The following is a 14,289-nucleotide window of genomic DNA, read 5'->3' as shown; positions in this document are numbered from 1 at the left end:
CAAAGAGAAGAGAAGAGGCTCCTCTAGCCTCTGTGTCACTTTGTTGAGAAGCAAGGGGAAGAATAAAGCAAGTCACCTCAAGGAGATTTGTCCCCAGGCCACCAGGCTCATGTTTTGTGTTGTGGATATTGAGTGTAGGAGTGTGAGGCTTTCATGCTCAAAAGCAAGGACCCTGATGGTGCCTCACCTTGTTCTTTTACCTTGTCTCTCTTGGGGGTAGGGGCTGAGACCCCTGACATTGAATATGTAGCAGAGAAGAAGACGTAGTGGAGAGAGTCAGTTATTCACTAGATGTGGCTTCTCATCCTGGCTCTGGGAAGTTGAGAAAGTCATTTATCTTCTCTCATCTCCATTTCTTCATCTGTAAATTAGCGACAATACAGCCTATCTTGTCTGCCTCCATCCACAGTAATACTCAAGGAAGAAAAGTGAAAGTGCTCAGAAAATCTCAAAGCCTTACAGAAATGGCCAGGGATTCTCTTTTGCCTGCTGTGAGCCTACTGGGTGTGAAATCCCTTGCTATGGTGCATCCCAACATTTCTCTAATGGTTTAGCCTATGGGCCAACAAAGCCTTCTGTTTCAGTGTTTGGAACTCTCAATAACCTTTCACATGATTTGCTTATTGCCCACTGCTTTGTCATCACCCCTGCCAAACCTATCTGTTCTTTAAAGTCTAACACAAGACTCACAGTTCCTTCACAAAACCTTCCTAACTCCAACCCACATTTACATCCCTTCTTCCAATTTATTATCTGCACCAATTATTTTGGGCACTTCTCCTGTGTATGTAAACTTTGGAGTTTAGGTCTACGTCATTTATATATCTTTTGCTCATAGTTCAGTTTATTTCAACAAACTTTCTTGTATACTTACTATGTCATAGGACCTAACAAAAGAGGGAAAAATGGTTAAGATTTGGGCCTTGCCCTTGGGAAACTCAGTCTTAAAGGGAACAGAAACATAAACAAATAATGTATGACATGGAATAGACATATATACAAGGTACTTACAAGAAGGAAATGATCAACTCTATCTAGGGATTCCATGAAGGCTTTACATCATTTTCTTATCTTCTACAACTGTGTTAGGAACTGAGTTCCTGACAAATAATAGGCTGATACATGTTTGTTGAAGGAATGAAGAAATGAATCAATGGTCAGCTGAGTTGTGTTTTGTTTGTTTGTTTGTTTTAGAGACAGGGTTTCTTTATATTGGCCAGGCTGGTCTTGAACTCCTGGCCTCAAGCAATCTCCCCACTTCAGTCTCCCAACGTGCCAAAATTACAGGCATGAGCCACTGCACCCAGCTGTGCTGAGTATTTTTAAGAATGAATTGGAATCTACCAGGTATTGGAGAAGAAGAACACAAAGGAAATCATGTGTACAGAGATACGGAACTGTTAAATATCATAGCGTGTTAGGAACCTGCTGCAATTGTGAAGGAGGAGTGAAGAAGCTTGTGAGATAGACCAGAGCCAAAACATGAAGGACCTTGTATGTCATTCTAGGAAGCTCGGATAGCTAGATTATTTTAAAACTATGTTAAAACAAACTGGGATAAAAATGGAAAACTGCTACTTCTAAAGATAAGCTCAGAGTAAACATAAAGTCATAGAAAAGTTGGCAGCACTAACATTTTCCAACAGGTTCCAGCTGACTTTTGTGGACCAGTTGTAAATTCCACCAACAGTCAATATTTAACTCACTTCTGAGACTGCTACCTATGAACTTAAGGCTAAGAAGTCTCCCTTTGTATACCCTGCTTTCAGTTTTAAGAACAGCCCTAGAAGGAAAATAATGGTCTCCTCCTTTTGCTTTAAGGAAATTGAAGCCTTGGGCCGGGTGCTCACGCCTGTAATCCCAGCATTTTGGGAGGCCAAGGCAGGCAGACCACTTGAGGCCAGGAGTTCGAGACCAGCCTGGCCAACATGGCGAAACTCCATCTCTACTAAAAATATAAAAACTTAGCTGGGCATGGTAACGGGTGCCTGTAGTCCCAGCTACTCGGGAGGCTGAAGCAAGAGAATCACTTGAACCCAGAAGGTGGAGTTTGCAGTGAAATGAAATCGCGCCACTGCACTCCAGCCTCCACCCTGGGCGACAGAGCAAGACTCTGTCTCAAAAAAAGAAAAGAAAAGAAAAGAAAATTGATGGCTTGAATCACTGGCTTATAGCAAACATAGTTAAGATATGGCAAGGCAAGGATTTGAAACCTGGTGTGCTTAGTTGCCAAAGTCTCACTCTTTTCTGTTGTACCTCCCGATTAATTTAGGTTTGACTTCCTTCTTCAGCATCTTCGGCAATGTAGTAATAGAATTGATGAAAAATAGTAGTAACAATTATTGCCCACCTCAGCCTTTGACCCCTTCTGAGCTCTCTTAATCAACCTCAGTGCTGAGACCCCTCCCCTCCATTCACCACTCCAGCCCTCTCCCATTCTGATGCCATCATCTCCCTGCTTCTATCCAGCCTCACGCTAACCAGAATGTGGAGCTTTTTGTGAGCTTGATTTCTGATTCCTCTGGCTGCCGATGGAGATCCCTCTGAAGGTGCTCACTGGAGCAATTATTCTGCTTGTTCCCCCATCTCTCACCCACTCCCCCAAGTATAGTTATCAGGACGCTGCTGTATTTCCCATTGTCCAAGGACTAATTCATGAAATAGGGCTGGCTTACCTCTGGTTTTGCACTGACTGGCTCAGAGATATTTTGAGATCCATGAGGTGAGTTGTGTTTTCAGCAGATTTCAGGCACAGTGTGGCATTTTCAGTGATGTCTCTATCGAAGGCCTTCCTCAGCTTGAACAGCTATGAAGGGGTGATGCTGCTAGGAGCTGCCTTGTCCAAGAGTGGAGGCATCTAATGTGACTGCGGAGGGGCTGGGAAGTGTTCTGCACCCTTGCTTGTCTGCTGGTTTCAAATGACCGCTAATTAAAGACAAATCCTAGCACCGCTCATCAGCATCTTGGTTCAAATTAGTTGTTTCCCAGCAAAAAGGGCAGACCTCTGAAAGACTAAAACACAGAATAGATAAACACTGAGTGGAAAGGTCAGGGCCAAAAGACACTTCTCAGCAGAGCGGGGCAGGCAGAGTGGAGGTTCTCGTAACTGGAGGCCAGTCTGCAGGTTGGAAATGGGTGGAACTTGAAGTGGTGGGGAGGTATGTACATGACAATCCCTAGAAATATCAAAAAGTTATTAATACATGGGAATAGTTAAACTGAGAAACTGAACTTCAGAAATTAATCCCAGGATTAAATTTCTGCTCAAAAAGAAAAAAAAAAAGCAGAGAACAACAACGTGTATGACTAAGCCACAGCACCAAGATATGTAGGTATATGAATGTCTTCATGTGTGTGTCTATGTATGTAATATATATATCATAAAGGCCAAAAAAATAATAAAAAGCACGTCGTAGGGAAGCAAATAAAAGTGGAAATATATACAAACAAGGCTTGGGATTCTATAATTAGTAAGAGGAAGGGACTCTGTGAATGAATTTCAATCCCCAAATCCACTGACACCCTAAGGAACTCAGAGATCCATGAAGATAGAACATGAAAAGGCTTTTACATTAATATGGGCGTAATATTTGAAATTGGAATTGTGATTCCAGGAACCAGAAAAAAGTGTTTTCCAAGAATTTCTGGCAAAAATGTAACTTGTTCAGGTGAAAAAAGAGTTTAAACAATCTCTTTTTAATTCCTAATTAAAGATGAGCCGAGATCTCGCCACTACACTCCAGCCTGGGCGACAGAGCAAGACTCCGTCTCAAAAAAAAAAGGTCCTGCTCAAGAATCTCAGAAATGATGACATGGAGAATGTCATTAATTTATGACTATCTGGAACATCTCTTCAGCAGAGGCACCATTGGGGTAGTTGATTCAGAGGCCCACATTGTATGTTACACATGGAGGCATAGCTTTTGGAAGCGGGGATGGGTGCAAGGGGAAAACAGAAAGGCTGGAATGTGGCCCTCAAGATTTCTCTCTAAAGTCTGGAAAGATTTCTTTTCTTTTCTTTATTTTTTGAGACGGAGTCTCGCTCTGTCACCCAGGCTGGAGTGCAGGGGCATGATCTCAGCTCACTGCAACCTCTGCCTCCCGGGTTCAAGCAATTCTCCTGTCTCAGCCTCCCGAGTAACTCAGATTACAGGTGCCCGCCACCACGCCTGGCTAATTTTTGTATTTTTAGTAGAGACAAGTTTTCACTGTGTTGGCCAGGTTGGTCTTGAACCCCTGACCTCAAGTGATCCTCCTGCTTCAGCCTCCCAAAGTGCTGGGATTACAGGCGTAAGCCACCGCGCCTGGCCGGAAAGATTTCTTAAGCTCCCCTGATTCCTACCCTGAGCAGGGCCCTTGCAGGCAGTGCTTGGGTATGAGGAGGAGGCTTTTACTGGCAGGACAGCCAGAGTTCAGGCTCTTGATCCAGCTGGAGGTATAAGAAAGCCCACTAAAGAGACAGCCATAGCCATCCTCAGAGAAGGAAACTGATTAGAAATGAAGTTATATTTCTCCCATCACTGTCATCGGCAAAAAAAATTAAAATAAAAAAAATACAACAGCCAGAAGAATAAAAGTACCTTCAAGATCTTTTTTGGGGAAGACAACTAATAAATTTCTGTGAACTCCTTGAGGAAAGCATGAGTAAAGCAAGCAAAGAGCAGAATCTTTTTTTTTTTTCCTGGCCATAGCAGCATCTGACAGAAGTACAAATGCACAGTGCTGAAGTCTTCTTCATCCTAAGGTTGGCTAGGTTGGTTCCTTCAAAGGATTAAAGCTGTTCTTATAAGATATTCCAGATACCCTTTGTGAGAAATCCAAGATGTCAGAAGTGATTGACCATGGATTAGATCTTAATTATTATTGCCCCAACCATGTTGTTGGTAATCAGCCAAAAAAAGACAAAAATCCATGCTCTGCACAGCAATGCACAAGTCACCTCCACTTTGTGAGCAAGTTCTTCTGACAATGGGAAGTACTGTCTAGTTAGTGGGATTTGACCCCTGAAGTGTGGGTGGAGAGATGGAAGAGGGAATGGAAACAAAAGAGAAAACAAGCACTTGGGAGTGGCAGGGGAGGAGAGGCCCAGAAAGAATAGCAAAGGAGGATCTAAATGTCATAACCGAGGCCCTGGTGGTGCACCTATCAGCAACTTGGGAGGCTGAGGTTGAAGGATTGCTTAAGCCTAGGAGTTTGAGGCCAGCCTGGGCAACATATGAAAGATCCCTGCCTCTACTGAAATATTTTAAAAATTAGCAGGGCATGGTGGGCCACACCTGTAGTCCCAGCTACTCAGGAGACAGGAGGACCGCTTGAGCCTAGGAGTTAAGAGGCCATAGTGAGCTATGATTGCACCACTGCACTCTACCCCAAGCGACAGTGAGATCCTGTCTCTAATAATAATAATAATAATAATAATAATAATAAGGGAGTCATAACTGAGCTCAAAGGAACTCAAATTCTGGAGATCAAGCCAGAGATGTGGGGCAGAAGCAGTATATTGTGGTCAAAAGTGAGTACAGAGGACTTTAGAGGAAACTAGAAAATGGGATGGGAGAGAAAAATGAGTGATCAAAGAGAGGTCAAGTGGGGCCAGCAGTAGAGGCCAGCATCTGATTCCTGGTTATAACTTGAGCTCTGCAAACATGCTGAAAATCCCATAAGGTATATGAGGGCACGGTGTAACAAGATACTATCTAGTGTGAGATAATTCAATTAATCACTGTGATTGAAGCTGAGGAACAAAACTTGGGCATTATGAGTAGTAATACAGAACAAGATTAGAGGGAAAAAATGCTAGCAGTTAGTTGGAATGTTCTTCGATTATGTTTATATTGAACAATAGAGAAGCTGCATGACATAGAAAAGAGAGCAAAGAAGTCTGAAAATGCAGGTACCATTTCTGCCATGTTAACAAGCTGTATGTCCCAAGAAAAAGTATTTCCAATTTAGTGTGGGTTTGGAGTGTGTGTGATTATTTTATCATTTGTAAGAATAAAATAATAATAATAAAATAATAAGGGTAACTGCCTCAAAGAATTGTGAAGGCTAACTTGGTAATGTGCATTTAAACATTTTGTCAAATTGATCTTTTAAGCATAATAGAAACAGGATTGAGATAAGAATTAAAAACTTAAACATTTTGTGTAAAAAATGCTAATAATCAAAATAATAACTACCATTTAGTAAATGCCTATAGTGTGTTGGATGTAAACCAGATGCTTTGGAAACCTTATTTAATCTTCACAATCACCTGAAACTTGAATATCTTTATCCCCATTATACAGGCAAGGCTCAGAGAGGTTAAGGAACTTGCCCAGGATCATTCCTTTAAAAAGACCTTATTACTCACAAATGAAGTAAACAAATAATATTTAGTTTGTTTCATAGTTTCCTTAACTATAAATTGTAAAACTCTAACTCCCAGAAACAATAAGGAAATAACTGAAATAGGCAATACCTTTGAATTTCACAATTTTTTAATTTTACAAGGTAAAAAAAACAAATTTTAAAATTCTGTTGGGTAAATTGGAACAGTCTGGACTGGAGTTGGGGCAATAAAAAAACTTTAAATCTAACCTGTCCCAACACTTAAATGCCTTAACTTTGGAAATATTTCTGGGAAAAAAAGTTGATGAGAATATCTTGCCTTGTAAGTAAAAAATTGACTAATTGATTCATAAACTGAGTCAATTTTGTTACTTTTTGGCAAATTAAAAAATAAAGCTCTTGTTTACTTACCTAAAAGAGCCACGTCCAGCTCACTGGAATAAAACATCGCTGTCGCAAAACACAATCTAGGTCCCTTAATCCTGCCTTTTTTGATCTTAAAAGGTGGTAACATTCAGTTCGGAGCTCACTCATCTGTAAATTGCATCACATTATCTCTGAGTTATTTAAGAAGCAAGCTCTGTTTGGTTTCAGGCATTTTTAACCTGCTAAAGGCAAGAAGAAGTGTTCACCACATAGTTGCAAAGGTCTTCAACTTGCCACAGCCAACAGAAAAATCAAAATGATTGAACCCTTTGGGAATCAGTATATTGTGGCCAGGCCAGTGTATTCTACAAATGCTTTTGAGGAAAATCATAAAAAGACAGGAAGACATCATAAGACATTTCTGGATCATCTCAAAGTGTGTTGTAGGTAAGATATTTTTTAAGGTATTGGCATTAGGAATACATTTTTGAAGCACTTTCCCCTAAATTTTCTAACTTTCCAACTCTCCTTTCTGGCTCTAGTCCACAGCCTACAGTCCTTTCCTCTTTAGTTTCCAAACCTCCTACTCCCTGACAGAGTTGGAAAGGTAGTGTCTAAAATGAACCCCATCTCGGCTTATCAACACGGTCTTTCCAAATCAGACAACTAACAGATGGGGACAGAGGAAAATTCTCATTTGAAATATTGCATGATTTGAGCTGAGGATGACAAATAGGTCTATTATGGTTAAAGAAAAGCAAGCATTTTAAAAAATCCTTTGTTGGTGACCAGAGGGCAGCTGATTATGGGTAAAGAATGTTACTGGGAGTGAAATTACTAGTTTAATCTTTAGCATATTACCATCTTTACCAATTTCCCACCGACAGGTACTAAACTTAAAATTTGATATTAATTGACTGACCTGTGGCTTTCCATGTTTTCAGCTGTTCCCCACAAAAGGCCAAGAGAATTGTCCTCTCTTTGTTCCCCATAGCATCTTGGTTGCCAGCATACCGGCTTAAAGAATGGTTGCTCAGTGATATTGTTTCTGGTATCAGCACAGGGATTGTGGCCGTACTACAAGGTAAAATTTTTTTTAAGTATAATTTATATACAATAAAATTCTTCCTCTGAATGTGTACAGCTCAGGGACTTTTCGTATATTCACTAGGTTGTGCATCTGTCACCACTATCTAATTCTGGAACATTTTCACCACCACCAACCCCTAAAAATCCCTTACCCATTAACTTCACATCCCCCCTACCCTTTCTCTGTGGATTTGCCTCTTCTGCATATTTCATGCAAATGAAATAATACAATACATGGCACTTTGTGTCTGGTTTCTTTCACTCACCGTAATGTTTTCAAGGTTGATCCATATTGTAGCATGTATTGGTACTTCATTCCATTTTATGGACAAATAAGTATTCTGTTGTATGGACATATCACAATTTTTTTATCTGCTCATCGGTTGATGAACATTTGAGTTGTTTCCACTTGGGGGCTATTATGAGTTATGAGTAATGCTATTTTGAACATTTGTGTACAAATATTTGTGTGAGCATGCTTCAATTTTCTTGGGTATATCACTAGGATTGTAATTGCTGGATCATAGGGTAACTCTATATTTAATCATTTGTGGAACTGCTAACTTATTTTCTAAAGTAGCTACACCATTTTACATTTCCACTAGCAGTGTATGAGGGTTCAGATTTCTCCATATCATCAACACTTGTTATTGTCCATCTTTTTTCTTTTAGCTATCCCAGTGAGTGTGAAGTGGTATCTCATTGTGGTTTGCATTTGCATTTCTCTAATGACTAACAATATTGAATATTTTTTCCAGGTGTTTATTGGCCATTTGTATATCTTTTGAAACATGTCTATTCAAAGTTTTTATCCATTTTTAAATTGGGTTATTTGTCTTTTTGTTGTGGAGTTGCAAGTGTTGTTTCTATATTCTGGATACCAGACCCTTGTCAGATATACAATTTGCAGATAACTTTTTTATTCTGTGAATTATTGGTTAACTTTCTTGATAGTATCCTTTGAAGTACACGTTTTTAAATTGTGATTAAGTCCAGTCTATCTGTATTTTTCATTGGGTGCTTATGCCAGGGGTCCCCAGTCCCTGGGCCACAGACCAGTACAGGTCCGTGGCCTGTTAAGAACTGGGCCACACAGCAGGAGGTGAGTGGCAGGTGAGCAAATGAAGCCTCACCTGTATTTACAGCCGCTCCTTATTGCTCTCTTTACCTCCTGAGCTCCACCTCCTGTTAGATCAGCGACAACATTATATTCTCATAGGAGTGCAAACCCTATCGTGAACTGTGCACGCAAGGGATCTAGGTTGCATGCTCCTTATGAGAATCTAATGCCTAATGATCTGTCACGGTCTCCCAACACCCCCAGAGGGAACCATCTAGTTGCAGGAAAACAAGCTCAGGGCTCCCACTGATTCTACATTATGGTGAATTGTATAATTATTTCATTAAATATTACAATGTAATAATAATAGAAATAAAGTGCACAAAAAATGTAATACACTTGAGTCATCCCAAAACCATCTCCCCTTCCCTAGTCAGTGGAAAAATTACCTTCCACAAAACCAGTCTCTGGTGCCAAAAAGGTTGGGGACTGCTGGCTTATGCCATAGGTGTCATTTCTAAGAAACCATTGACAAATCCAGGTCACAAAGATTTATACCTATGCTTTCTTCTAAAAGTTTTATAGTTTTAGTTCTTACATTTACATCTTTAATACATTTTGAATTAATGAGGTAACTTATTTTTAGGATCCAATTCTAAATACCATAAGAACCAAATGAGAATGTCTTTGATTCCTCTTGCACAGAGTAAGGGCTCTGCTGCTTGTGTGTTTACAGGTTTAGCATTTGCTCTGCTGGTCGACATTCCCCCAGTCTATGGGTTGTATGCATCCTTTTTCCCAGCCATAATCTACCTTTTCTTCGGCACTTCCAGACACATATCCGTGGGTAAGTCAGTTACTGAGCTGATTAATGCTCACATTGTTTTTTCCTTATGAATTTTATTAGCCATACCTTCTATCAATTCCAAATTTCACATAATCCAGGAGAAGAGTCATGGTCTCCTGTGAGAATTAGGACCAGGGTTTGAGATGGAGGGCAGGGTCACAGATGGCAGCCATTTTATTTATTTATTTATTTATTTATTTATTTTTATTTATTTTTTGAGACGGAGTTTTGCTCTTGTGGCCCAGGTTGGAGTGCAGTGGCACGATCTCAGCTCACTGCAACCTCCACCTCCCAGGTTCAAGCGATTCTCCTGCCTCAGCCTCCCAAGTAGCTGGGATTACAGGCATGCACCATCACGCCTGACTAATTTTTGTATTGTTGGTAGAGACGAGGCTTCTCCATGTTGGTCAGGCTGGTCTCAAACTCCCGACCTCAGGTGATCCACCCGCCTCGGCCTCCCAAAGTGCTGGGATTACAGGCGTGAGCCACCACGCCCAGCCTTGCCAGTCATTTTATATGGTCTTATTCTGTGGTTGAAAGACAATGTGCTTTAGAGAGGCATATACTGACCACGATTCACCCACTGTTAATTAGGTCCGTTTCCGATTCTGAGTATGATGGTGGGACTAGCAGTTTCAGGAGCAGTTTCAAAAGCAGTCCCAGATCGCAATGCAACTACTTTGGGATTGCCTAACAACTCGAATAATTCTTCACTACTGGATGACGAGAGGGTGAGGGTGGCGGCGGCGGCATCAGTCACAGTGCTTTCTGGAATCATCCAGGTGAGCACCTTCTCATGTAACTTGCCCACCTCAATCTGTTCATCTTGACTGTTACACATCTCTCTATTTTTCCTCCCCCCTGCCACTCCTCCCCATCTTCCCTTTGGTTTGTCTCTCCCTCATGGCCCATAGGAAATACTGTACGAAGGGTCACTCACCACAACCAGAGGGAGAGGAGTGGGTCAACAGTACAAAAACGAATGAATGTGGGTCTAGACAGAAGGAAGAAGGGGAATGGAGAGGCACAAACAGTGACAAGCGAAATGCTTCAACATATATCTGGGAATTGATAGAGTCAAGAAACAGCATATCTGGGAATTGATAGAGTCAAGAAACATAACTGTATACAAGAAATCGTCATACTGGTGGCTTTGGAATTTTTTTCTTTAATTCTTCAGCAACTATAATCTAGTTGGAAGGGATGGGGGCTTTGAACTGTTCATGTCAATTTTGGGGAAAACTGACGAGGATTATGGTGGAGCCTAAAGTCTCACTTCCAAGCCGTATGCTGACACTCCTGCTGAATACTGAAAATGTCATGGACTTTTTGAGATGTTGCCTAAGTTTATGGATAATGATATTATTGGTTAAGACCATTTCTTAAAGAAAGGAAAAGTCAGTTTCTACAAGGACATAAGCATGCGTCTTATTGACAATTTGGTTAGTTATTTCTAATACATTTCTGAACTTAGTATAGAAATGGAACCCAACTGGGCTTTGGGCAGCCACAGCTCTGGCTGCGTTCTGGAGATGTGAGCAGAAAGACAGGCCAAGTATCCAAGGGAAGGAGAATCCATCCGATTCACTCGATTGCAAAACAATGATGCTTTAGGGGGGAATTAACCATCCTTTTCCCCCAGCTAGAACCAAGCACTTCTGATGTCCAATATGCAGTTATGTATTTCTTAAGCAAGTTGAGCAACTTTGAGGAAATAGGATAGACACTCGCTCATGCGTGCTCCAGCAGCTAGAAAGTATAACTTAAAATTACATCAGCAAATTTATGAGGGCTGATGCTAGGTAAGATTCTACTAGAAAAGGCCTATGAGTCTTCCAAAGACAGCACACTTAAAAATAAATTAAGTGCAAATAAGCCTGTTACTTCTTGGGGGCAAACTAGACTTATATCCTATGTGAATACCATGTGACGTTCCACCTGGATGATGCGGTGGAAGGGAAGGAGAGAGAGGAGCCCTGGGTGGGAGGCGTCCCAGGAGGCAGGGACATTTGCTTCTTCAAGGCATGTACATACAGGTTGAGCCTTTACGTTTTGTGTAATATTATTTCAGTTGCGGATCCTTGAGTTTGCTGAGGTATACTCCTAATCTATGCTGACAAAGGCTTTTGTTCTCTTTCCAGTTGGCTTTTGGGATTCTGCGGATTGGATTTGTAGTGATATACCTGTCTGAGTCCCTCATCAGTGGCTTCACTACTGCTGCTGCTGTTCATGTTTTGGTTTCCCAACTCAAATTCATTTTTCAGTTGACAGTCCCGTCACACACTGATCCAGTTTCAATTTTCAAAGTAAGTATTTCTTTCACCTAAAAAATACTGAAATACATGAAACTCACTACTGTGTTTTTAGAGAGCTTTCCTTTAATGCCTTTGCCATGGGGTTTACCTACAGTTTGTAAAATTTTTTCATATTAAAAAAGAAAGCAGCACTTTGGGAGGCCGAGGCGGGCGGATCACGAGATCAGGAGATCGAGACCATCCTGGCTAACACAGTGAAACCCCGTCTCTACTAAAAATTAAAAAAAAAAAATAGCCGGGCATGGTGGCAGGCACCTGTAGTCCCAGCTACTCCAGAGGCTGAGGCAGGAGAATGGTGTGAACCCAGGAGGCGGATCTTGCAGTGAGTTGAGATCACGCCACTGCACTCCAGCCTGGGCAACACAGTGAGACTCTTGTCTCAAAAAAAAAAAAAAGAAAAAGAAAAGAAAAGAAAAAGAAAGTAAAGCCAGGCATGATGGCTCATACCTGTAATCCCAGCACTTTGGGAGCCTGAGGTAGGAGGATCACTTGACACCTGAACCCAGGAGTTCAAGACCAGCCTGGGCAACAAAGTGAAACCTCACCTTTACAAAAAATAAAATAATTAGCCGGGCATGGTGGTGCATGTCTGCAGTCCCAGCTTTTTGGAAGGCTGAGGCAGAGGATCTCTTGAGCCAGAGAGTTAGAGGCAGCAGTGAGCTATGATTGCATCACTGCACTCCAGCCTGGGCAACAGAGCGAGACATAGTCTCAAAAAAAAAAAAAAAAAGAAAAGAAAAAAGAAAAAGAAAAGAAAAGAAAAAAGGAAACGAAAGAAAAGAAAAAGTAGCAAGGGAACAATACTGAAAATCAACCACATCTACCATACAGCTAATGTTAACAACAAAATTAAGTAACACTTCTCTTAGATTTGACTCAAGTACTTTCCAAAAGGAAAAAAAAAGTCTATGTTTTAAAAGCTTTACCATTTTGTCCCAAGTTTTAAACTGTTTCTTAAAATCTTATTTTGAAAGAAATTTGCTAATTGAGTTATGATGTTTTCCTGTTTCTTGAAAAGCATGTCTCATTCTTTTAGAATTGAAGTTCTTGGGTCTTTTTGCATCCTGTTTAGAAAACAAAAGAACATTTACCACTATGTAGATAGGGCAGCAGTTCTCCCCTCCTCCAGAGGATGCAAAGTAGAACAGATAGTGTTCTTAGTTTTAAAACTTGGGACAAAATGGTAAAGCTTTTAATAACATAGATTATTTTTTTGAAAATACTTGAGTCAAATATAGGAGAAGTGTTACTTAATTTTTGTTGTTAACATTAGCTCGATGGTAGATGTGTTTGATTTTTAACGACTCCCAAAAGTTTTTGGGAGTTGAGACAGAACTTGCTCCAAATTGGAACCAACACTCTCTTTCATCCAGAGGTATTCCAAAAGTGGAGTGTTCTAGAAGCAATTTGGGATCCAGTTTTGGCCTGCTTGAGCTTTTTGGGGTAAGTGGATATGGAACCCAACTAGCTTCAAGAAGTATGTGCACATGCATAGTGCACAGTTAGCCAGAAAACTATTTTCCAAAAGTGACATAGAGAGTCAGCTAAGAAATATGAGGGGGTGTAAACCCCCCAAGAGGGCCAGGAATTGAGCATACTAAGCAAAACTATCAAAGATCAGAAGTTATTCCCTGGACAGAGTAGTGATGGCTGTGAAATAAAAAATGACGACCAAAGAGACCTAATAAGGGCAGAAGACCAGTGGTAAAAATGTGAAAAGTATCCAACAAAATTTGACACTAGCCAAAGAGATTCCCAGCAAAAATGCCAGAAGCATTCTTAAACTAGTGTGCCACCTACACTATGCTAACTTACTCTTCTCATATCTCCATCGCTACTCTCTACAATTTCACATTCACAATTAAACCGGGGCAATACAGGAAATCACTATCAGTCTCTATCAGTCTTTTTGCTTCCATGTTTATTTTTATTTGTTTGGAGATGCGTTGTATCCAAATTGTGCATTAATATAGGGCTTTGGTGGTTTTTGTTTTTATAATTGTAGGTACTATACTCTGTATTCTCACAAATAGAGAAGACTAATATTGCAGACCTGGTGACAGCTCTGATTGTCCTTTTGGTTGTATCCATTGTTAAAGAAATAAATCAGCGCTTCAAAGACAAACTTCCAGTGCCCATTCCAATCGAATTCATTATGGTAATTGATCATTTTCAGACTCTGTCATAGCTACTCTACTGTTTATATGTTGTAAGTCCTTCACCATTTGTAGCTCAGGAAGTTTTAGTGGGGCAGAGGCCATCTCTGCAGTTTTCGGGCATAA

The 14,289-nt window shown here is 40.6% G+C and overlaps 1 protein-coding gene across 1 annotated transcript in view; it reads left to right on the top strand.

Annotated features, from left to right (window-relative positions):
* The window catches only part of SLC26A3 (solute carrier family 26 member 3), a 37,755-nt gene that overhangs the window by 1,702 nt on the left and 21,764 nt on the right, over positions 1 to 14,289 (top strand). The window contains exons 2-7 of the mRNA NM_000111.3: positions 6,925 to 7,143; positions 7,641 to 7,780; positions 9,582 to 9,692; positions 10,287 to 10,474; positions 11,834 to 11,998; positions 14,013 to 14,165. Of these exons, the coding sequence (NP_000102.1) occupies positions 7,013 to 7,143; positions 7,641 to 7,780; positions 9,582 to 9,692; positions 10,287 to 10,474; positions 11,834 to 11,998; positions 14,013 to 14,165 (888 nt within the window). The 5' untranslated portion in view covers positions 6,925 to 7,012. The remainder of the gene's footprint in view (positions 1 to 6,924; positions 7,144 to 7,640; positions 7,781 to 9,581; positions 9,693 to 10,286; positions 10,475 to 11,833; positions 11,999 to 14,012; positions 14,166 to 14,289) is intronic.

This window comes from Homo sapiens, chromosome 7 (genome assembly GCF_000001405.40).
Source record: "Homo sapiens chromosome 7, GRCh38.p14 Primary Assembly".
In the NCBI taxonomy this organism is placed as follows: Eukaryota; Metazoa; Chordata; class Mammalia; order Primates; family Hominidae; genus Homo; species Homo sapiens.
This window is presented reverse-complemented; position numbering and strand designations above follow the sequence as displayed.